Here is a 25045-nt window from a genome sequence, read left to right on the forward strand (position 1 = left end):
TTTTACTTTGTTCTTGAATTTCTGAGTACGGGTTAACATTTAAAGAATCTACATTATAGATAACATTTTATTGCAAGTAAATGTATTTCAAAATTTGTTATTGGTTTTGTATGAGATTATTCTCAGCCTACTTCATTATCAAGCTATATTATTTTATTAATGTAGTTCGATGATCTTACAGCAAAGCTGAAAGCTGTATCTTCAAAATATGTCTATTTGACTAAAAAGTTATTCAACAGGAGTTATTATCTATAAAAAAATACAACAGGAATATAAAAAACTTGAGGATAAAAAGATGTTGGAAAAAGTAATATTAAATCTTAAAAAACATATGGAAACTACACAATGGTGGAGACACATTGGTGAAGTACAAAAATATAAATTGGATCTAGAAGAAAGGGCAATGCAGGCAATAGAAAAATTAGTAGAAATCCCTTTAAAGGTTAGTTTGTAAAATCAGGTAAGTTTATTTATAATTTGCTTTCATTTATTTCACTGCAAATTATATTTTGGATATGTATATATATTGTGCTTCCTCTGCCTGTCTTACAGCAATTTGCCTTGCAGAGTTCTAGGAAAAAGGTGGCATGTGTTTTTACTTTCAAATATTTAAATTTCCATCATTCTAACAAAATCAATTTTTCAGAGTAATGATTCTCACTGTGGAGTCATTTGATTATTAAGACCCGTTGGCATAAGATTACATCCTCTGACTATAAAAATCCTGGAAGAAAACCTAGGAAATATTCGTCTGGACATTGCACTTGGCAATGAATTTATGGGTAAGTCCTCAAAAGCAATTGCCAGAAAAACGAAAATTGAGAAGTGTGATTTAATTAAACTAAAGAGCTGCTTCTGCACAGCATGAGAAACTCTCAAGGGGGATTGAACAGACAGCCTACAGAGTGGAAGAAAATATTCACACACTATGCATACAGCAAAGGCCTATTATCCAGAATCTATAAGAGACTTAGACAAATCAAGAAGCAAAAAATAACCCCATTAAAAAATGGGCAAAGAACATGAACAGACAGTTTTCAAAAGAACACATACGTGGCCAACAAACATATTAACACATGCATACCATCACTAATCATTAGAGAATGCAAAGCAAAACATCAATTAGATACCATCTCACACCAGTTAGAATGACTTCTGTTACAAAGTAAAAATAATAAAAATATTTAAATATTCAATAATAAAATGTTATTTAGGTTGAGATAAATTAATTTGTCATTATTCTCAAAACATGGATATTCAAGAATAACCTTATTTCACATGTAATAACACAACAACTACCTTAAAAAATAAAAGCTGGGGCCTAGCACAGTGTCTCAAGTCTGTAATCCCAGCACTTTGGGAAGCTGAGGTGGGCCGATCACGAGGTCAGGAGTTTGAAACAAGCCAGGCCAACGTGGTGAAACCCCATGTCCACTAAAAATACAAAAATTAACTAGGCATGGTGGTGGGCACCTGTAATCCCAGCTATCTGGGAGGCTGAGGCAGGAGAATCATTGGAACCTGGGAGGTGGAGGTTGCAGTGAGCTGAGATCAGGTCATTGCACTCCAGCCTGGGCCACAGGGCGAGACTCCATCTCAAAAATAAATAAATAAATAAAATTAAATGAAGAAAAACAAAAGCTGGAAGTTGTATGAAAATATTAATGCACATACCATCTTTTGAAAATATTCATTGTTTCTCTAGAGATTTCAATACCTATTCTAGCTTATTATAGTAACCTATAATTTGTATTATACCAACTATGGTATAAAAACCTTAAAATGTATATTTTTGTTTTCTCTCTCCTTTATACTATTTATGTCATGCATTATAGTCTCAAATATTATGAATTCCATAATATAAAGTTACTCTTTTTTTAAAAAAATAAGACAATTATCTTTAGAGCAATGTAAAATAATTGGGCTATATATCTTTATATCTTCTCTGGCACTCTTTATTTCTTTGTGTAGTTTCAACTTTCATCTGCTTCCATATTCCTTTTGCCTCAAGAAATGATTTTGACATTTATTTTAGTGCAGACCTGTTAGCAAGGGACTCTTGCAGTGTTAATCTGAAAATGTCTTCATTTCATTGTTATTTTCACTATATAGTTAATGGATGTAAGATTGGGGGTTGACTTTTTTTAAGTTATTTAAAAATTTTGTATCATTGGTTTCTGACTTGTAGAGTTGCTGACACGCAGTTCACTGTAATGGCTATTTCTGTTTATCTCTCTACACAGTGTTCCTATTTTTCTGTGACTGAATTCAAGATTTTTGCTAATCGTTGGTTTTCAGCAGTTTGACTAGTGTGATTATTCTAGCGTTCTTTAAATTTTGTATTTATCTTTCTTGGATCTTTTTGAGTTTATTTGGTCTCCTTAGTCATCTTTTTCAAATTTTTCTTCCCTTACATTCTGTTTTTACTCTCCTGGAATTCCAATTAATTGTATTTTACTTAATTTCATGTTACCAGAGAATTCTTGGATTCACTGGAGTATTTTATTTGCTTGGCTCATTGGTTTATTTTGTTTTTCTCTTTCCTCCCTTTGTGCTACCATTCAAATAATTTGTATTGACCTAGCATAAAATTTACTGCTTCTTTCTTTAGCTCTGATGACCAGTCTGCTAATCAGCTTGCTGTTGTAATTCTTCATTTCTGTTCTCATGCTTTCACTTATTTCTAGCTTTTGCCTTTTACTGTTCCCATCTCTGCTGAAATTCCTCATTTTTCCATGCATGTTGTCTTTTTTTAAGTAGATTCTTTAACATTTTGATCATTATTATTTTAAATTAGTTGCATTTAGTTCCAACATCTGAATTATCTCTGAATTTGATTCTGTTGACTTTTTATCTTTTGAAAATATTATAACTCATAACCCAAATTTCTAACTTGGTTTTATGTGTCTCCCAGTTTCTAAAAAATGCAAATCATCAGATGTAGAAAATCAGTAGATCATGAGATAATTGTTTATGTTGAGATTGTTTTATATTTATGTTTCATTTTGGTTTGTGTCATGCTATTAGTGTGGGCAGGAACAAAGGTTGGTTTTTGCCACGGTGTCTGAAACATTCAGTGAACCACGTAACTCAGATTTCTCCAGCAGCAGGCTGCTATATCATGTGCCTTGTGTGGGGCCTTAGGCTCTGGAGGGCATATTCCAGTGCTCCTGTTCCAGTTATCTTTCCATAGTCCTTACCACATATGTCATAGGAGGGTCTCTCTCCACTTTCTTGTTCCTCTCTAACTGTAGAACATCATGTTGTGTGTGTGTGTGTGTGTGTGTGTGTGTGTGTGTGTGTGTGTGACTAGGCAGAAAATTCAGGTTGGGGGCAGAGGGATGATTCATGTTATTTTTGAGCCAGTTTCATCATTGGACACTCAGAGAAGGGGTATTTTTAGCACTTCCTGACTCTTATTCTAGTGGGAATCAAACTGTCTCATATCTGTGTTGTTTTTTGAGGAAGAAATGATACCTTGCCCTCCTCCCACCTCAGTGGTAGAAAACCTTTGATTTATATCATTGCAAGTTTTCAACCCCACACTAAGGACATACTATTTTATTTCTTCTTCCATAGGAACAATGCACCTTTGTCTGTGTCACTGGATGGAGATTTTCCAACCCTTTACCACAGTAGCACAACTCTGCATTAGTGCAAAATCCTGGGCCCCAAAACAATCCTTGTTCCTCTCCTGATGGAGAAGTATTTTTCTTGCATCCCTCCCCCAGAAGCAGTGATCCTTTGCCTGGTCTCAGGTGGGATAGGGTAGGCTATGAGAGGTTTCTTAACCTTCTCGGAAAGCTGATGTGTTTTGCTGCTTCTTATCTCCCAGAAACAGTAGACTTTTGCGTGGGTTCATGGACCCAGATGCTTTTTTGCCACAGAAAACGAAGGGTTTTGATTCTTAGGAGAGAAGCAAATGTTCATGTAGTCAATTTTTTTCTTATTTATTTTTTGCTTTGTTTTATTATTTCAGTAGTGATGAGTATGATCATTATTTTCCACTTATGCCACTTGCAACTCTAATATTTTGTTTTTATTAGCCCCCCTTTGACAGTTCAGCACTAAATCAAATGCAGATGATCATCAGTTGTGTGAATAAAGTGTTTTTATTGAGAACAAAATTGTTGATATAGACACAAATTAGGATATTATCCTACTTAGCACAATATGTCACTGGCTCAAAATGTAAAATCCTCTTTAGGCTGAACAAAGAATGGTTCTTAAAACTATTGTCCCTTTTTGACAAATAAAAAAAATCCCAATGCTTTTTATCTCATGGATAGATTATTAAAATAATTACATACCTGATCTTCATTTTATGTTCTCTCTCTTCAAGATATTTCCTTCAAAACTACTTTGACTGATTAGTCTCTTTTGAATTACGTTAGACTTTGTATTTTCTCCACAAGCTCATCAGGGTAAATCCTGCCTTTACATTTTTTATAAAAATTCTCTTTTTTTTTTTCAAATCTTAGTTGAGCTGAAAGATTTCCACCAAATGTCTCCTATGCCACAAAGCCTTATTTTACTTATCTCCCCATCCTCCTTGCTCAAGCTCATTTAGGAATATTTTTATTAAAACATTAATGCAATACTGTTTTTTAAAAAATCTGAACATACAGTATTTTCAATTTGAACACAAAATAGTGCTCTAACTTGAAAACAAGTTTTAGAAACAAATGTTTCTAGAAGGAGGATCAACAGTGTCATAAGTATCATAATCCAATTCTCCTGTTTGTACTAAAACATTAGCAAATATTTATTGAGAAATTGCTGTCTGCCTGAAAGTATAATGCTTTTGATACACATTATATCATATAAACTATGTACTATTATTAGTAGTATCTTAAGAGTAAAAATATCGAGTCTTAGAGATGTTAAGCAATGTGCTCAAATAGCATAGGGAAAGTTGGAATTCTGAAATTCCGACTATGCCTTAGGTATGATAGGAGAATCAATGTTTGTCAAATGTAAGTGTCAAGTCATTGTGGGGATTCAGATGCCTCTGATTGCTAGGGTCAATACACTTAAGCAGATCATGTCACTACTTAGTTAAATCTATTTCATTAAAGCAAAATTCCACAAAGATTATTGGCACCAAAACCATTATTTTTCTTCCTCCCTTCCTTCTTTCCTTCTTTGCTTCCTTCCTTCCTTCCTCGCTCTCTCACCTGCCTGCCTTTCTTTCTTTCTTTCTTTCTTTCTTTCTTTCTTTCTTTCTTTCTTTCTTCTTTCTTTCTTTCTTTCTCTTTCTTTTTCTTTCTTTTTCTTTCTCTTTCTTTCCTTTTCTTTCTTTCTTTCTTTCTCCTTCCTTCCTTCCTTCCTTCCTTCCTTCCTTCCTTCCTTCTTTCGAGACAGGGTCTCAGTCTGTTGTCCAAGCTGGAGTACAGTGGCACAATCATGGCTTACTGCAGCCCCAGCTTCCCCAGGCTCAGGTGATCCTCCCGTCTCATCCTCCTGAGTAGCTGGGACTACAGGCAAGCCACTATGCCTGGCTAATTTTTTTTTTTTTTTTTTTTTTTTTGGTAAAGATTGGGTTTCACCATGTTGCCGAGCCTGGTCTGCAACTCCTCAGCTCAAGCAATCCACCTGCCTTTGCCTCCCAAACTATTGGGATTCCAGGTGTAAGCCTCACGCCTGGACAAAAATATTATTTAACAAGTTCAATTTAACTATTAGATTTTGGACAATGAGGGATAGAATTTTCTACATCATAATTCATCTTGTGTTCTTTATTTAAAGTAATACTTAAGGATTTCAATTCAATTCAAATATATTTATTAGCAAATTAAATGGCTTTTTCAGGATTCCAAACTTTTGTTGAAGACATAAATGTTAAATGATGTCACTAATTTTAATTAGATTAACAAAAAGGTATTGTGGTGTGTAATAACAGTGACGGAATGGGCTATTAATTTTATTTTCTTCCTCTTTCTCTCTTTCCCCTTTTTAAAATATTTTACTTTTTAGGCGCTTTGGAATCCTGCAGATATAATAATGATAATTAAACAAAACACTCAGAGAAACTGCCAACCCTAGGATGAAGTATATTGTTACTGTGCTTTGGGATTAAAATAAGTAACTACAGTTTATAGAACTTTTATACTGATACACAGACACTAAAAAGGGAAAGGGTTTAGATGAGAAGCTCTGCTATGCAATCAAGAATCTCAGCCACTCATTTCTGTAGGGGCTGCAGGAGCTCCCTGTAAAGAGAGGTTATGGAGTCTGTAGCTTCAGGTAAGATACTTAAAACCCTTCAGAGTTTCTCCATTTTTTCCCATAGTTTCCCCAAAAGGGTTATGACACTTTATAAGAATGCTTCACTTGTGAAAAACAAATATCAAAGTCTTCTTGTAGATTATATTTAAGGACAAATCTTTATTCCATGTTTAATTTATTTAGCTTCCCCTGTAGCTAATATTTCATGCTGAACACATTTTAAATGCTGTAAATGTAGATAATGTAATTTATGTATCATTAATGCCTCTTTAGTAGTTTAGAGAAAACGTCAAAAGAAATGGCCCCAGAATAAGCTTCTTGATTTGTAAAATTCTATGTCATTGGCTCAAATTTGTATAGTATCTCAAAATATAAATATATAGACATCTCAGATAATATATTTGAAATAGCAAATTCCTGTTAGAAAATAATAGTACTTAACTAGATGAGAATAACAGGTCGCCATTATTTGAATTGTCTCCTATTCGTTTTTCATTTGTTGTGTTACTCATGTTTTACTTATGGGGGATATATATAACTTCCGCTGTTTTCAGAATTATTGTATGCAGTCAGTATGAGAATGCAATTTAAGTTTCCTTGATGCTTTTTCACACTTCTATTACTAGAAATAAGAATACAGTAATATTGGCAAAGAAAATTGACCAGTTCAATAAAATTTTTTAGTAAATCTGATTGAAAATAAACATTGCTTATGGCTTTCTTACATCAATATTGTTATGTCCTAGACACCTTATCTGAAATTACGGCTTCAAAATTCTAATTATGTGCAAATGTGTAAAATATCAATACTTTATGTTCAAGCTGGGGCCTCTTCAGGCGTCCTGGGCTGAGAGAGAAAGATGCTAGCTCCGCAAGCCGGGGAGGGAACACCGCCACATTGTTACATGGACACACCGCCACGTGGACACATGACCAGACTCACATGTACAGACACACGGAGACATTACCACATGGAGACACCGTCACACAGTCACACGAACACACTGGCATAGTCACATGGACGGACACACAGACATATGGAGAAATCACACTGACACACCACCACACTATCACAGGGACACAGACACACGGAGACATCACCACATGGACACACTGTCACACTACCACAGGGACACGAGACATCACACTGTCACATGGACACACCATCACACACATGAACACACCGACACACTGCCATATGGACACTGCCACACACACTGCCACACTGTCACATGGACACACCTCCATACCATCACACCACCACACACACTGCCATGTGGACACAAGGACACACAGACACTGTCACACAGATGCACAAAACACTGTCACACGGAGACATCACCATGCAGATACACCACCACATGGACATAGCACCAGACACTCTGCCACACAGATACACCACCACACAGAAATGCGGACACACTGCCACACAGACACCACCACATCGTTGCCACACTTTCATGTGTCAGCTGGCGGTGTGGGCCCCACGACTCTGGGCTCTAATCGAGAAATTACTTGGACATATAGTGAAGGCAAAATTTTTTTTTTATTTTCTGAGACGTAGTGTCGCTCTGTTGCCCAGGCTGGAGTGCAGTGGCGTGATCTCCGCTCACTGCAAGCTCTGCCTCCCGGGTTCACGCCACTCTCCCGCCTCAGCCTCCCGAGTAGCTGGGACTACAGGTGCCCACCAACTTTTTGTGTGTTCTTAGTAGAGACGGGGTTTCACCTTGCTAGCCAGGATGGTCTCGATCTCCTGACCTCGTGATCCGCCCGCCTTGGCCTCCCAAAGTGCTGGGACTACAGGCGTGAGCCAGCGCGCCAGGCCAAGAATTTCTTTCCATCTCCTGTGTCATTGCTTTGGCAGTGGAAACGCACGTGGCCTCTAAAGAGTGGGTCCCAAGGTCATGAAGGCCTGTGGGGTGGAGGGCAAGGTATCTCTTTCCAGGCTGGAATGGCAGAAGACGCGGCGGCAGAGGGGCTGCATGTCCTCCTCACAGCAGGCCCCTGAGGACCTTTATCCTCCTGAGCCATGAATGTCCCTCAGGAGTGTCTAAAGCACCCGGTGGGGCAGGGGGACCCCTATAGGCCTTAGGAGCTCTGGCCAATTAGTGGTCAGTAAAACGCAGAGGTGAACACCATAGAACCACAGGTCCAGGAGAATTTTGTAAAAGCTCTGAGGATGCCCTTTTTTGTTCTCCCACTGCAAAATTGTTTTAAAAAGGAAAAAAATCCAGCAATGTCTGGGGAAAGTCAATACTGAGTGTCAGCGCGGGATGCTGCCGCTGATAAGATCCCGGCGTCCTGGCCAAAAGTGGCCTCGGGAACCGCATCTCCGCGCACCATGGCAGCAAAGGCCAGTGGTTTGTGGGCGGATGGTGTCCCTGTGGCCATCCCCACTCCTGAGTGCGGAAGGACAGGAGCGGGGACTTCTGGGTGTTCCTGGTGTCAGCCAGCTTGACACCATTGCTGCTCCTTGAAGTCCGGGATTTGGACAAGCACCTGGTTCCTGATGGAGGCCGTGGGCCTCTTGGTCCCCGCTTACCAGGCAGCGGCGCCAGCCTAGTTCTCAGCCCCGCCCCAGATGGGCGCCGCCTTCCATCACGCCAAAGACTTTCCGAAACTGCCCTTCTTGGGCCTGGGAAGCAGATCCTGGGCTTCCCTGGGGCCTGTGGCGCTGGCAGCAGCTCCACGTTGAGGTCGCCTGCAGCCCGCACTGCGGAGTGCTGGAGGTCCTTGAGCCAGGCGTGGGGAGGCCAATCCGCAGGTGCTGGGCGCCCGGTGCCGGTCGCAGTCTCAAAAGCGCCTGGAGGTGACATCCAGGAGCACCACCGCGCCGCCCGCAGGGAGACCCATGGCGAGGCGCGCCCCCTAAGGCGGCCAAGGAAAAAGCAGAAGGACAGGAAGGTGCCCCAGAGCTCGATCTCAGGCCGCAAGCACCGACCAAGTTCCTGGTCTCCGGGAGGTCTTTTTTTTTTTTATTTCTTCCATATTTCATTATTATTATTATTATTAACTTTTCAAGATGGATTAAAGACTTAAATGTTAGACCTAAAACCATAAAAACCCTAGAAGAAAACCTAGGCAATACCACTCAGGACATAGGCATGGGCAAGGACTTCATGTCTAAAACACCAAAAGCAATGGCAACAAAAGCCAAAATTGACAAATGGGATCTAATTAAACTAAAGAGCTTCTGCACAGCAAAAAAAAAAAAAAAAAAAAAAAAACTTCCATTAGAGTGAACTGGCAACTTACAGAATGGGAGAAAATTTTTGCAATCTACCCATCTGACAAAGGGCTAATATCCAGAATCTACAAAGAACTTAAACAAATGTACAAGAAAAAATCAAACAATCACATCAAAAAGTGGGCGAAGGATATGAACAGACACTTATCAAAAGAAGACATTTATGCAGCCAACAGACACATGAAAAAATGTTCATCATCACTGGTCATCAGAGAAATGCAAATCAAAACCACAATCCGGGAGGTCTTGCCAAAGACCACCTGGGCTTTCCGGGCAACGGGCTAGAGCTTCTGGGAAGCAGTCGTGGCCCTTTGGAGATTCCACGGCTTCGGATCCCTACTGCAGGATGCTCCACTGTGTCTGCCGGCCTCTGGCGTTTTGCTGAGGGGTAACCTCGGAATGGCTAGAAACAAGAACACTGAGATGGCCCAGTCGTGCCCCAGGCATTCCCGCACACGTGGTGGCAAAGAAAGGCGCGCAGACAGAGTGCCCAGTCAGCTTGGTCAGAGTTCTTTACAGGTTAGTGACAGACTTGGTCCCACGCTTGTGTCCTCCCATGTTTTCAGTTAACCTGCGGACCCCCAGGGGCTCCTCCATCTCCACCGTGTTCTCCTCGGGCTGAAGCCCAAAGTCCCCCATTTTCTCCTCAAACAGCTCTCAGAGCCACTTCTGCAGGCAGGCGGACAGCGCGTGGACTCAGTGTCTGACTTGGGAAGCCACCTCTGAAGGAACTGCTGGGTGACTATGGTCGTAAGTCAATCAAAGCAGACTTTCCCTGGCTTGCTGCGCTACATTGATTTTGTTTTCGTATTTTAAAAGAAGCAGAAGGGAGGTCCTAGGAAATTTGCCCAGTGCAGATGCTGACAAGAGTGGTGACATGAAAAAGATTACCCAGAAGGAAAACAAGAGCTATTTTCTAAACATCTGAAATCTGTGTAGGCTTTTGGAAAAGTGAAACTAGATGCAAAGCACAATGATGTAATTCTGGCAATTTCCACTGACACAGAACTCAGTCAATCTGAATTAATCTAAGGGTTACAAGGAAAATGGCACTCCAAGAAGTACCTATTAACATCACTCAGCTGCTGTGAAATAGGCTTACAGGCAACATGGAGTGTCAATTATCCAGTGTTTAAAGTCAGTGATACAGATTGGACTAACATATCTAAGGCTCATAAAGTCTTCTTTAAAGGATTGACAGATGGTTTATCTGATATGTAGACCATGATTCTCAGCAGTTAACTAGCACAACTTGCTAATATCAATTGCTTGAGAAAATCAGATAATTGCTTGAGAAAATTAGGACATTGCTTTGAGGAAGTTAGGTAATTAAATAAATTACTTTTTTTTAAGGATAGTTTAATATTTTGGCAAGTAGACTTTAAAGTAGATTGGTAATATTTTAAAGGCTACTTTTAAAGAAATAGCAATATAACATTTAATTATAAAAATAATGTTGGAAACAATTCAACTTTCTATCACAGATAATTTCACAAATATAGAAATACCATCTCAATAATTAGAAGATGTAGCAGCAATTTCTGTCATTTTTATGCAAGTTACTCCTAGTCCATTTATTTGGTTTTAAATAGTGTTTTTAAAATTTGTTTTCCAACAGGGCTAATCATAAATAATAGAATATATTTTACAATAGTTGAAGGTAACAAAAAGTAAGTGCCATTTAAAAAATTGTATTAGATTGTTTAAAAATGTTGTGGGTACATAGTATGTGTATGTATCTGTGGGGTCCATGAGATGTTTTGATACAGGCATGCAATGTGAAATAAGCACATCATGGGGAATAGGGTATCCCTCCCCTCAAGCATTTATCCTTCAAGTTATAAAAAATTCAATTACAGTCTTAGTTATTTCAAAATGTACAATTAAATTATTATTGAATATAGTCACCCTATTGTGCTATCAAATAGTAGGTCTTATTAACTCTCTATTTTTATACCCATTAGCCATCCCCACCTTCCCACAACACCCCCTGCCGCTACCTTTCCCAGCCTCTGATAACCATCCTTATACTCTCTGTGTCCATGAGTTTGTTTTGATTTTAGATTCCACAAATTAGTGAGAACATGTGACATTTGTCTTTCTGTGCCTGGTTTATTTCACTTAACATAATGATCCATAATGTTCCATCAATGTTACTGACAATGACTGGATCTTATTCTTTGTTATGGCTGAATAGTCGTCCGTTGTGTATATGTACCACATTTTCTTTATCCATTCATCTGTTGATGGACACTAAGGTTTCTTCCAAATCTTAGCGTTGTAAACAGTGCTGCAACAAATATGGGAGTGCAGATATGTATTTGACATACTGATTTCCTTTATTTTTGGTATACACCCAGCAGTAAGATTGCTAGATCATATGGTAGCTCCACTTTTAGTTTATTGAGAAACATCCAAACTGTTCACCTTAGTGGTTTTACTAATTTGCATTCCCAGGAGCTGTGTACAAGAGTTCCCTTTTCTCTGCATCCCTGCTAGCATTTGTTATTGCCTGTCTTTTGCATACAAGTCATATAAACTGTGGTGAGATGATATCTTGTTGTAGTTTTGATTTAAATTTCTCTGATGATCGGTGATATTGAGCACTTTTCTTATACCTATTTGCCATTTGTAGGTCTTCTTTTGAGAAATACCTATTCAAATCTTTTGCCCCCCTTTTTTTAGCTAGGTTATTAGATTGTTTCCTAAAGAGTTGTTTGAGTTTTCTATATATTCTGATTATTAATCCTTGTCAGATGAGTAGTTTGCAAATATTTTCTCCCATTCTGTGGATTGTCTCTTAACTTTGTTGATTGTATCATTTTCTGTGCAGAAGCTTTTTAACTTAATGTGATCCATTTGTCCATTTTTGCTTTGGTTGCCTGTGCTTGTGGGGTATTGCTCAAGATATTTTTGCCCAGACCAATGTCCTGGAGGTGTTCCCCAAAGTTTTTCTGTACTAGTTTTATAGTTCGAGGTCTTGGCTTTACATCTTTAAACAACTTTGATTTTACTTTTGTATTTGGTGATAGATACTAGTCTGTTTTCATTCTTCTGCATATGGATATCCAGTTTTTTCAATACCATTTCCCACCAGTGTATGTTCTTGGCACCTTTGTCAAAAATGAGTTCACTGTAGGTACATTTGTACATTTGTTACTGGGTTCTCTATTCTGTTCCATTGATCTATGGGTCTATTTTTATGCCAGTACCATACTCTTTTGGTTGCTGTAATTCTGTGGTATAATATGAAGTCAGAAAATATAATTCCTCCAGTTTTATTTATTTATTTATTTTTGCTTAGGATAGTATTATTTCTTATAGTGAAAGCATTCTATGTTATTTATTATTAGTCTAATTTTGTAGTTTTACAATGCTATCCTCTTTTACAAAGCTATGATCAACTCAGTGTGTCCAGATCAGGATCATTTGTAGCTATTTGCAAAAGTAGCAATATTCTGGCTGGGCATGGTGGCTCATGCTTATATTCCCAGCACTTTGGGAGGCCAAGACAGGCAGATCACCTGAGGTCAGAGGTTCAAGACCAGCCTGGTCAACATGGTGAAACCCTGTCTCCAATAAAAATACAAAAATTAGCCGGGGATGATGGCAGATGCCTGTAATCCCAGCTACTCAGGAGGCTGAGGCAGGAAACTCACTTGAACCCGGGAGGTGGAGGTTGCAGTGAGCCCAGAATGTGTCATTGCATTCCAGCCTGGGTAACCAAGCGCGACTCTGTCTCAAAAAAGAAAAAAAAAGCAATATACTGTGTAATCGTTGACAGCATAATTCACTATTATGTAGATCGGAGAGCAGAGGATTCTGAATGCATGAACATATCATTAACATTTCAATACATTACTCATAATTACTGATGAACTAAAGAGAAACCAAGAAATTATGGTGATAGTTATATTGACCTGGAGAAATGTAGACACAAAAGAACCGTAAGATGAGAAATGTGTTAACACAGTCTATAAGGGCATGCAAGAATAAAAATAGGGGAGAAAACAGGAGAGTTTTTCAAGAGCTTTCTGGTCATGTAAGTCAACTTGTATCGGTTAATTTTTAAAAGGTTTATTTACATGCAATAAACTGCACATACTTCAATTGTACATTTTGGTAATTCTTGGCATTTGTAGCTCTATAAAACCAGCAACATATTAAAATAGCAAACATATCCATTACCTTTACCACCAAAGTTTTCTTGTGTTTTTTCTACTCACTTTTTCCTGCCTATCCCCCCATCTCTTCCACAGGTAACCACTGATCCACTTCCAGTCACTATCCATGAGTTTTTATTTCCAAATACATGAAATCATATGGTATGTATACTTTCTGATCACTCAGCATCACTATTTTTGAGATTAATTCATGTTGCTACATCTATCAATTGTTCTGTTCTTACTAGGGAGTATTATTTCATTATATACGTATACCATAGTAAGTTTATAAGTCACAAATTCACCTGCCATGGACATTTGGAATGTTTTCAGGTTTTGGCTGTTGCAAGTAAAGCTGCTATGAAGATTCATGTAAAATCCTCTGAATGGGCATATGCTCTTAGTTTTCATCTCTAATAGAAGTGGAATAGACAGCTATCATGTCTGTAATATGCAAACACAAAGGCTGACAAAACTGATTTTTAAAGTGGAAACTCCACTGGATAACCTTGACTCCAGCCTGGCTTTTGAGAGTATCTCCTATGTTTGTGCAATGATTGGTCCTGGGGTAGCCACATGACCCAAGGAGGACCATGTTTAAACTTCTGAGTTTTCATCGAGATTAACATGCATTTGTTGAAAGAGAAAGCCCTTTTTTTCTAATCCCCCAGCTGCAAATGCTTTCAGGGATCACATCTTGTTGGAACATTTGGTTACAGTGTTTCCTAAACTTCGAGGGTAAAAATTGTTCAAGTAGGTAAAAATGGAGCAAATACAAAGAAAAAAGGAGTCCAGAAACATCAAATAAAAAAGAAAGGGCCTCCATAAAATCATTTGAACTTATGATTAATTCATTAGTCATTAAAACAAGTTTAATGTACAAAGAGTCATCCCCCCAACCACCCTTTATTCCTTCACCAAGTTTAAGTTACATTTTTTTAACTTGCAAACAAAAGATTTGTCATTAACTTAGACATCAGAACTCCTTGTCTCCAAGAGCAATCATTCAACTCTGTCCCTCTCATTGTTACAATAATATGTTCACTTCATTCTGCATACACCTGCTCTTTGCCCTTGTCTCCCTATTCTATTCTATTAAAGTTACATCCAGACATTTATTTCATTTTGTATCAAAGAAACTGTATACATGTTTTTAATCTTAGAAAAATTTCTGAGTAATTTTTTGTCTCATATTTGATTTTAAGCCACCCAAGAAGCATTATTTTTTCATTTAGTATTTTAACTTTTCTAACCCAGGACTTTTATAGTAGATATTATGTCTTTTTCTAAATGCTCTGCTTCAATTTACATTTTAAATCTAATTTTTAAAAAGTGTACGTTTTCAATATTTGCATCATGTATCTCAGGCCTAAATATCCCTTGATAACCAATCCTGCCTTTTTTTCTCTGCATTTTTCACATATTTCAATAGGGAGCTATATCGCCTGACACAATAAAAGTTTTTGCCAATATAACATAACACATAGGCAAAATTTTGTTTCCAAGTGATTGATGATGTGGTGCCTTCAGTCTAGTCCCAATCCCTCAATGTAATCGTCATCCCTATCTAATGAAATATGAAATAAATATTTCACTTTGTTTCTAAAATTCAGCAGACAAATATATAGCCTGTCACATAGAGCCTGTAACACCAACATATAAAAATGAAAGCAGTTCCTTCTCCACTCCCACTGCTTCACTTGACTAGCCTTGAAAAATAATAACAATAATAAAAAATGAAAGCAAAATTGTTCCTTTATTTATCTTTGCAATTTAAAGGATATACTGTCAGAAAAGCTCTTCTATATATATGGAGGGCCTCTATAAAATATAGACTCTTAACTAGAAAAGTAGACTTACATGATGGTTAAATTAAAAACACAATTATATATAGTACCTTCACAAATGCACCAGTACTTATTTCAGAATGCATGATGTAATTGACTAAACCATTTAGGGCTAGACCTCTGAAATAAAAGGCATTCACACTTTGTGATTCTAAGGGGAAAATATTATTCAAAATAGAAGCATGCAGAACCTTTACCTGATCATGATAAAAAAATTTTCCTACTTGTTGTGAATATGCCACAGCTTTTCAAGGTCAGCAAAAAGAGATTATCCCACAATATAAGCTGATGGCCAAAATTATCTGCCTTACTTTAGTTACCATAATATCTATTAAGTGTAAATTTCTTCTGAAAGAAAACAGATACATTTTTCTCAGAAATGTCTTTAGATGAAGATCTAGCACATCTGTTTTTCTAACTTTTGAAAATTTTGTTTTTATTGATAAATATATATGGGGTACAATGTGGTACAATACATGTAAATATTGTGAAGTGGACAAATTAGGCTAAATAACATATCCTTCACCTCAGATATTTATTACATTATGGTGAAATATTTAAAATGTACTATTTTAGCGCTTTTAAGATATGCACTATATTATGAGTAACTGCAGTCACTTTGCTGTGTACCATATCACCAGAATGTATTTCTCCTAACTGAAGCATTATCCCATTGAATATTTCCCCTTTTTCCACCCCCGCCACCCGACCTGCTCAGCCTCTGATAAACCACCACTCTACTCTTAACTTCTATGAGTGCACATTTTTGGATTTCACATGTAAGTGGTATCATGAGATATTTGTCTTTCTGTGTCTGGCTTATTTTACTTAGTATAATGTCCTCTAAATTCATCCACGTTTTTGCAAATGACAGAATTTCATTCATTTATAAAGATAAGTAGTATTTTTGTATGCATCCTACATATGCTTTTAATTTTCCACAGCTTTATTGAGATATAATTCATACATTATGTAATTCACTCATTTAAAGTACAAACTTCAAATTCTTTTAGTATATTAACTGGGTGGACAAATAATCTTCATAAGATAATTTTAGAACATTTTAATGCCCTTAAAAGAGACTTGCACCCATTAGCAATCTTTCCCTATTTTTTCCAGCCTTTTTAAAACCCCTCCTATTCTAGGTGACCACTCATCTAATTTCTGACTATGAATTTGCCTATTCTGGACATTTCACATAAACGGAATCATAATAACACATAGTCATTTCTTACTCACTTCTTTCGCTTAACATATTTTTAATGTTCATCCATTTTGGAGCATGCATTAACACTTTTTTCCCTTTTGTTAAGAAATAAGATTCTATTTTATAGACACACCACATTTTATTCATCCACTCCTCAGTTGATGAACATTTCTGTTCTTTTCTACTTTTTGTTGCTATAAACATTTTTGTACTACTTTTTGTGTAGCATTTGTTTTCTTTTCTTTTTGGTAAATACATAGGAGTGGAATTGCTGGGTCATATGATAACTCTATGTTTAACCATTTGAAGAACTGCCAGACTGTTTTACATTTTAAGGTCTCACCAGTGGTGTAGAAGGGTTCCAATTTTTCCACATATTTTTATCCATTCTTCAGTTGATAAGCACTTAGGTTGTTTGTAATTCACGGCTATTATGAATATTGCTGCAATGAACATGAAATTGCAGATGTCTCTTTTTGACATATTGATTGAAATTCCTTTGGACACATATCCAGAAGTGGGATTGATGGATCATAGGGTAAATAAATTTATAATTTCTTGAGAAAGCTTCGTACTGTTTTCCAAGATGGCTGTACTAATTTCCATTCCTACCAACAGTGTACAGGGTTTCTTTTTCTCCACATCCTCACCAACACTTATCTTCCATCTTTTTTTATAATAGCCCTAGTAAAATGTGTGAGGTGATATCTCATTGTGGCATTGATTTGCACTTCTCTGATAATTAGGAATGTTTATGATTTTTTCATGTACCTGGTTGGCCTTTTGTATGATGTAGGAAATGTCTATTCTGATTCTTTGCTTATTTTTTAATAAGCATAGTTTTTTTCTTATTTTTGAGTAGGTTGAGTTGCTTATATATTATTATATGAGCCCCTTACCTGATGTATGGTTTAAAAATATTATCCCATTTGTGGGTTCTCTTAATTCTATCATTGCTTCTTTTCCTGTGGAAAAGTTTTAAGTTTTATGCAGTCTCATTTGTGTGTTTTGCTTTTGTTGCCTTTTGGAATAATCTACAGAAAATCATAGCTCAGGCCAATGTCATACAGTCTCCTTCTATATTTCCTTGTAGTAGTTTTACATTTAAACTTTAATTTTGATTTGATGCTTGTATAAAGAGCAAAATAAAAGTCAAATTTTATTCTTCTGTATGTGGATAGTCAGTTTTGTCTACACCATTTATTGAAAATAATTTTCTTTCTTCACTGTGTATTTTTAGTTATTTTATCAAAAAATCAATTGACCACAGACACACGGATTTATTTACAGGTTCTATATCCCTTTGTACTGTTTTACATGTCTGTTTTTATGCCATTGCTATGCTGTTTTAATTCCTATAGCTTTGTAATAGAGTTTGGAGTCAGGTAGTCTGATGCCTCCAGCTTTGTTCTTTTTGTTCAAGATTGCTTTGGTTGGTCCAGGTCTTTTGTGGTTCCATACAAATTTTAGCAGTAATTTTTCTATTTCTGTGAAGAATGACATTGGAATTTGATAGTGGTTGCATTTAATCTGTAGATTGCTTTGGGTAGCATTGACACTTTTACAATACTAATTTTTGAATCCATCAATGAAGGATGTTTCTCCATTTATTTATGCCATTTTAATTTTTTTCATCAATGTGCTATAGTTTTCAGTATGTAAATCTTTTATGGTTTTGATTAAATTTACTCCTGTCTTTTATATATTTATATATCTGTTTTGATTCTATTATAAATTGAATTGCCTTTATTTTTCAGGTAATAGTTTGTCATTAGTTAATAGAAACAATAATGATATTTGTATGTTGATTTTGTAACTATTAACTTTATTGAATTTCTTCATCAGCTATAACCATTTATTTTGGTGGAATCTTTAAGATTTTCTCTATCTTAAGATTATATTTTCAAAAAACAGAAACAATCTTACCTCTTCCTTCCCTATGTGGATTTCTTTTACGTCTTTGTCTTGTGTAACTGTTCTGGCTAGGCAATTACACATAATGTTTTCATCATTTATAATTTTACATCACATCCATCTATTGTGGCACATTGATTGCTACTTTTCAAGTTGTAAACCTGGACATTTATCACTACTCTTCCTCCAATACAGGAGTCCATGGCGTGGTGTGGGCCCTACTGTGCCACAGTCCAGGGCACGGCTGGGCTGAGGTTCTCTTGTGCAAGAGTCCGTGGCTCTGCGGAGCAAGAGTTCTCCAGTGCCTTAGTCCAGGGTTAGGCAGGGGTGGGGCTCCTTCAGTAGCTTAGTCCAGTGCGCCGCCCTGCGAGGGTCCTCCTGAGCAGGAGTACACGATGAGGCAGGGTCCTACTGTGCCTTAGCCCAGGAAGCGGGGGGCTGGGTCCTCTGGTGCCATAGTCCAGGCTGCCGGGAGCTGGGTCCTCTGGTGCCATAGCTCAGGCCGGCGGGAGCTGGGTCCTCTGGTGCCGTAGTCCAGGGTGCAGCAGAACAGGAGTCCTGCGGAGCAGTAGTCCAGGGCACGCTGGGGCGTGGATCCTCAGGTGCCGCAGTCCAGAGCGTGACAGGGCAGGATTCCTGCCTTGCTATATCCAGGGTGCAGCGGGGCGGGGGTTCACTTCTGCAGGAGTCCAGGACGTGGCAGAACGGGAGTCCTCCGTGTAGGAGTCCTCCGGTGCTGGAGTCCAGAGCACAGTGAGGCTGGGTCCTCCCGTGCCATAGTGTAGGGCATGGCGGGACAGGGATCCTGCCCTGCGATAGTCCAGTGACTGAGTCCGCAGTAAGGCAGTGGTCCTCCAATGCTGGAGTTCACGGCGTGGTGGGGTCACGGTCCTTCAGTGTCTTAGTCCATGGGTACCAGGGCGGGGGTCCACAGTTGCCATAGTGAGGACCTGGGAGGAGTGTGGTTCCTGCCTCACTGTAGTCCGGGGAGCAGGGGGCAGGGGTCCTCTCTTGTCAGAGTCTCTGGCGCGGGGTGGGGGTGGGGTGGGGGTTTTCCTATGCGATAGCCCACGGGGCGGTGAGGCCAGGTCCTCGCTTGCCTTTGTCGTGGGCGCAGGGGGGCGAGGGTCTTCGGTGGTGGAGTCCTCGGAGCGGCAGGGCAGGGGTCCTCCAGTGCCATATTCCAGGGTGCGGCGGAGTGGGCGACCTGTCCTGCAGTGGTCCAGGGCATGCGGGAGTGGTGGTCCTCCTGTGCCATAGTCCAACGCGCGGCGGGGAGGGGGTCACCTCGGCCTGCAGTCCACCACGCACGAGACCCCGGTCCTGCTGTGCCCCAGTCCAGTGCGCGGAGGGACGGCAGTCCTTCTGTGCTGTAGTGCAGGACGCGGTGGGGCAGCCGTAACCCAGAGAGCGCCGTGGCAGGGGGTCCTCCAGTGCTGGAATCCAGTTCATGGCGGGTCAGGGGTCTTATTGTTCCGAAGTCGGTGGCAAGGATCCTCCCGGGCCATAGTCTAGGGGGCGACGGGGCAGGGTTCTCTAGTGCAGGTGTCCAGGGTGCGGTGGGGCAGGAGTCCTCTGGTGCAGAAGTCCAGGACGTAATGGAGTGGGAGTACTCCAACGCCAGAGTCCAGGGCTCTGCGGGGCAGGGTTCCCCCATGCCAGAGTGTAGGGCGCTTTCAGGCGAGGGTCTTGGCGTGCAGTAGTTCAGGGTGCGGTGGGGCAAGGATAGTCCAGATCTCCATGGCGGGGGTTCCTCTGTGCAGGAGCCCAGTGCCCGGCGGATCGGGGTCCCTCCGTGCTGTAGTCCAGGGCACGGCAAGATGTGGGTCCTCTGGTGCCCTATCCAGGGGGCGGTGGGTCAGAGGTTCTCCCCTGTCTTGGTCTAGGGCCCGGCGGGACTGAGGTCCTGGAGTCCACGCGGTAGCCCAAGTTGCCTCAGGACCAGGTCCTCTGGATCCACAGTCCAGAGCACAGAGGGGCAGGAATAGCTCAGGGCGAGCCAGGGCCGAGGTCCTCGGGAGCCACAGTCCAGGGTGTGGAGGGGTGGGGGTTCTGCAGTGGCACAGCCCAGGACACAGCGGGGCGGGGCGGGGCGGGGATCCTCCGGTACCTTAGTCCAGGGCGGAGCCGGGGGAGAGGTCCTTCAGTAGCATAGTCTAGCGCATGGCGTTGCAGGGGTCCTCCAGTGCCTGAGGCCAGGGCGGGTCGCGGGTCCCACTGTACTCTCGTTCAGGGCGGAGCAGGTCTGAGGTCTTCTGCTTCAGTCTAGGGCGCTGGAGAGTGGGGGTCCTCTGGTGCCAGAGTCCATGGAGCCATGGGTCGGCGTCCTGCCATGTCTTAGCCCAGAACGGGGAGAGGCGGAGATCCTCCTTTGCCCTAGTCCAAGGCATTGTGAGGCCCCGCTCCTGCACAGAGGCGGTCTGTTCCTCTACTGCCGCGGGGAAAAACTGCACCATCTCTGGCAAGCCTAACCCAGCAGCTGTCCTTAAAAGATTCCCAGTTGAGTGTGGTTCGGAGCAGCCCTGAGAAGTGTGCCCTTAGATGGCTTCAAGGGCTCTGGGCAGTGTTTAAGGAATCCAGCTGACCTCAGTTACTCCAAGCCCTTTTCCACTCAGCAGAACTTCTGGCCACCCGGGTCCTCTATCTGTGGAGCCCTTCTATCATCCCAGATCCCCACAGGGTGGACTCCCTCTCATCCTCACAATCTCAGCTCAGGCCTTATTCATCACCGCATTCCTGGCACCAGGCCTGGCCCATGAGAAATGGGTCAGATTAAGAGCTAAATGTGTTTTCATGGTCACTTGTTTTCTTCAGGCCTCCTTTCTTTGTGCCAATATCTTTGGGTTTCTGGTTAAAGTTTTCAGCAGCTGCATGCGGTTCCATTTTTCTTACCAGGTAAGAGACATAGCTTCATGAAAACAAAGGCAGAACGCTTGTGACCAGAGAACTCCCAGTCCTCTCCCTGCATAGGAAAACTGGACTTCTCCGGAAGGCTCCAGCTCCTGGGCAAATCTCTAGGGCCACTTAATTGGGCTATCCCCCACCTTTGTTTCTGGTTTTGAAGGGACCAAAGTTGGGAATCCTTTTTCAGTCTCTACACACGGAGCCCTTCTTTGGTGGGAAAGTCTTAACATATACCAGGATTCTCACTGACCTTTCAGAGCCTTCAACAATCCTGAGCTGCTTTGGCTTCTGTTCCTGGAAGAGAGGCCACTGAACTGCTCTGGAGCTGGATTTCAAGTTCAGATATTCATCACTGTTACTAAGCCTTTACATAGCATGTGATTTCTTTCTGGCAGGCTCATGGTCACCTAGGTTTGCTTATATGTAGATGGAGGGTCTGCATCCTCATTCAGGTAACACCCTCAGTCTTTCATGCTGAGATTGGCCATTTTATTTGTAACTCACTGTACAATCCATTTGCTCTTCGAGTGTCCCTTAGAAGGATGCAGAGTGTTCTGTAGAATGCCATAGAGACCTGGGTTTAGGGAAAATATTTGACCAAATGTCCACCAACTCACATGAGTATCTCCCCACAACTTGTACAGTGCTAGTCTCTGGGTATATAGTAAATGAAACCGTGCCTGAGCAGATGTTACAAACACCCTCCACTGTGAGACTGCAGGGCTGCTTTATTCAAGCAACAGTGTGCTCTAATAAGGTCAGAGTTGAGAGAAACAAGTTTTCATTCCAGCTTTCTCAAAAACTCCCTTTGTGACTTTAGACATCATAATAACACTGCCTAAGTAGTGAACACCTCTGTGCCAAGAAATATCATGGTCATTGCCTGAGTTGTAATTCTCACAGTAGTCCTACAGGATAGCTGCTATTACTGCTTATTACGCAGATGGACAACCTGAGGCTCAGATGGAGTTAAGTGGCTTAATTGGTAGCAATCGAGCCAGGATTTGAACCCAGGGCTGCCTGACCACCAAATAAAATTGTATTCAACATGATGCACTTAACTTTTCTGGCCTCATTTCTCTCACCTGTAAAAATGCAGGTTTCAGATGTTTGTAATATTTTACCTGTGGTTTAAAGAGTTACCAGCCCTTCCTCGATGACCCATGGTAAGACCCATGAGCCTTTGAATATAATTATAGAAAACATTTGAAGAGGGATAGAGAAAGACGAGATCATGGCTCCTTTGATAACGTCAAATTTTCAGTGCACTAAGCCATACATAGTGCAGTTTTCTAGCTTCCCTTTCACAAACGGTGTTGAAGAAAGTAAATTAAGCAACTCAGCTATCACTGGGAATGCAGTAGAAGTAATCAAGTCCAGTGCTGGGAGATAGTTGCCATGATATTCCAACATGGACACCAGGATCACAGTCGATGACTATGCCCTCCCTTGAAGATGGTGGCTTGCCTCTCTTTCTGTAAGCAAATGTCATGTCATAACAGTATTAAACAATTACAAGTAATGTCCCCATCTGCTTCTGCACTGCCTTTGAAATACTATTTCAGATCTGCCAAAATAAATGGCAAACTCATTAACAAGAAAGCAGGGTGGGGGGTGCATTCATCCCTGCCTTCCTGAGTAGTCTATTCACCCAAAGACAAAAGGATGACCAGCTTCCATCAGGGATATTCAAAGACACAGTCACCCTGCCATGCAGCCAGAGGCTGGCAAAGGTCCAATCCCCTTTTTAAGAAGCTTGTTGGATGAGCTCTTTAAACATACAACCACAAAGGAAAGGCACAGCCAGTGTGAGGGAGGCTGATAAGATGGGCATTTTGTTTGCTTCAAGGTTAGAATGCAACTTGTCTATCAAAATGTGGTTATCTGACCTCCACAATGCTGCAGTCCAGTTAAATACTGCAAATATTCATCCACCATTTACTATGGATAAAACAATAATGTGCTGTGGGGAATCCAATTACACAGACACACACACACCCAAGAAAGTGCACACACACGTGGGCACACACACTGCTCCTGCTGACTCAGAGCTTCCAGGCCGGCAAGGAGTAAGTGCAAACATTAGTAGGTAAGTCTGCTACCAGGAAGAATATGATAAGTAGATCCAACAGGGTACAACGCAGTATGATAGAAGCAAACAAGGTTGAGATGAGTTCTGACTCCCTTTCACTTATAAAACTGATTATGGAATAGTTTATGAAAGACTCGCCTGGATGAATCTCATATTTTCCAAGTGTTTTCTATCCCAGTGATTGGAACTTTTATTCATCTATACCATTGTCCAAAAAGAAAGAACAGGAGATTTTCCTAAGACCATCCTCTGTCTTATCCCTCATATCCCAAACATCACCAAGCCCTGTCCACTTTTACCTACTCAGTTTCTCTCCACTTGCTCTATTTTCTCCATAAGCACTAGCAATACCTTGGTTACATGACATTCTGAGAAACTTCTTTGTGATGTGTGCTTTCATCTCACAGAGTTGAATATTTCTTTTGATTGAGCAGTTTGTAAACAGTCGTTTAGTAGAATCTGCAAAGGGATATTTGTGAGACCATTGTGGCCAATGGGGCAATAGGAAATATCTTCACATAAAAACTAGACAGAAACTTTCTGGGAAACTTCTTTGTGATATGTGCTTTCATCTCACAGAGTTGAACCTTTCTTTTGATTGAGCAGTTTGGAAACAGTCTTTTTGTAGTATCTGCAAATGGATATTTGGAGCACTTTGAGGCCTATGGTGAAAAAGGAAATATCTTTACTTAAAAACTAGACAGAAGCATTCTGAGAAACTTCGTTGTGATGTGTGCATTCATCTCACAGAGTTGAAGCTTTCTTTTGATTGAGCAGTTTTGAAACACTCTTTTTGTAGAATCTGCAAGTGGATAATTGGAGTGCTTTGAGGCCTATGGTGGAAAAGGAAATATCTTCACGTAAAAACTAGACAGAAGCATTCTGAGAAACTTCGTTGTGATGTGTGCATTCATCTCACAGAGTTGAACCTTTCTTTTGATTGAGAAGTTTTGAAACACTCTTTTTGCAGAAACCGCGAGTGGATATTTGGAGCGCTTTGAGGCCTGTGGTGGAAAAGGGAATATCTTCACATAAAAACTAGACAGAAGCATTCTGAGAAACTTCTTTGTGATGTGTGCATTCATCTCACAGAGTTGAACCTTTCTTTTGATTGAGAAGTTTTGAAACACTCTTTTTGCAGAAACCGCGAGTGGATATTTGGAGCGCTTTGAGGCCTGTGGTGGAAAAGGGAATATCTTCACATAAAAACTAGACAGAAGCATTCTGAGAAACTTCTTTGTGATGTGTGCATTCATCTCACAGAATTGAACATTTCTTTTGATTGAGCAGTTTGGAACCCGTCTTTTTGTAGAATCTGCAAGTGGATATTTGGAACCCTTTGAGGCCTATGCTGAAAAAAGAAATATCTTCACTACATGATGACCACCAGCAGCAGCTGGGGAAACCAGCACCCTGTGGAATTCCATACGGTGCATAGAATAC

The 25045-nt window shown here is 40.3% G+C and overlaps 1 long non-coding RNA gene and 1 pseudogene across 1 annotated transcript in view, besides 1 other annotated feature; one reads left to right on the top strand and one right to left on the bottom strand.

Moving 5' to 3' along the window:
- The first annotated feature begins 239 nt into the window (after nt 1-239).
- The window catches only part of PSLNR (prostate enriched lncRNA), a 37395-nt gene continuing 12589 nt past the window's right edge, over nt 240-25045 (top strand). Inside the window, exons 1-3 of the long non-coding RNA NR_132385.2 lie at nt 240-782; nt 5977-6246; nt 13735-13800. This is a non-coding gene — a long non-coding RNA (prostate enriched lncRNA). The remainder of the gene's footprint in view (nt 783-5976; nt 6247-13734; nt 13801-25045) is intronic.
- Nucleotides 9709-10171, bottom strand: GRAMD4P2 (GRAM domain containing 4 pseudogene 2; annotated as a pseudogene).
- Nucleotides 24185-24686: an enhancer, noted in NCBI's record as "OCT4 hESC enhancer chr22:16212624-16213125 (GRCh37/hg19 assembly coordinates)". NCBI's record gives its function as "activates a minimal SCP1, AML or CMV promoter by ChIP-STARR-seq in primed H9 embryonic stem cells {active_cell/tissue: H9 hESC(primed)}" and the evidence as "EXISTENCE:reporter gene assay evidence [ECO:0000049][PMID:30033119]".

Source organism: Homo sapiens, chromosome 22 (assembly GCF_000001405.40).
Source record: "Homo sapiens chromosome 22, GRCh38.p14 Primary Assembly".
Taxonomy (NCBI): domain Eukaryota; kingdom Metazoa; phylum Chordata; class Mammalia; order Primates; family Hominidae; genus Homo; species Homo sapiens.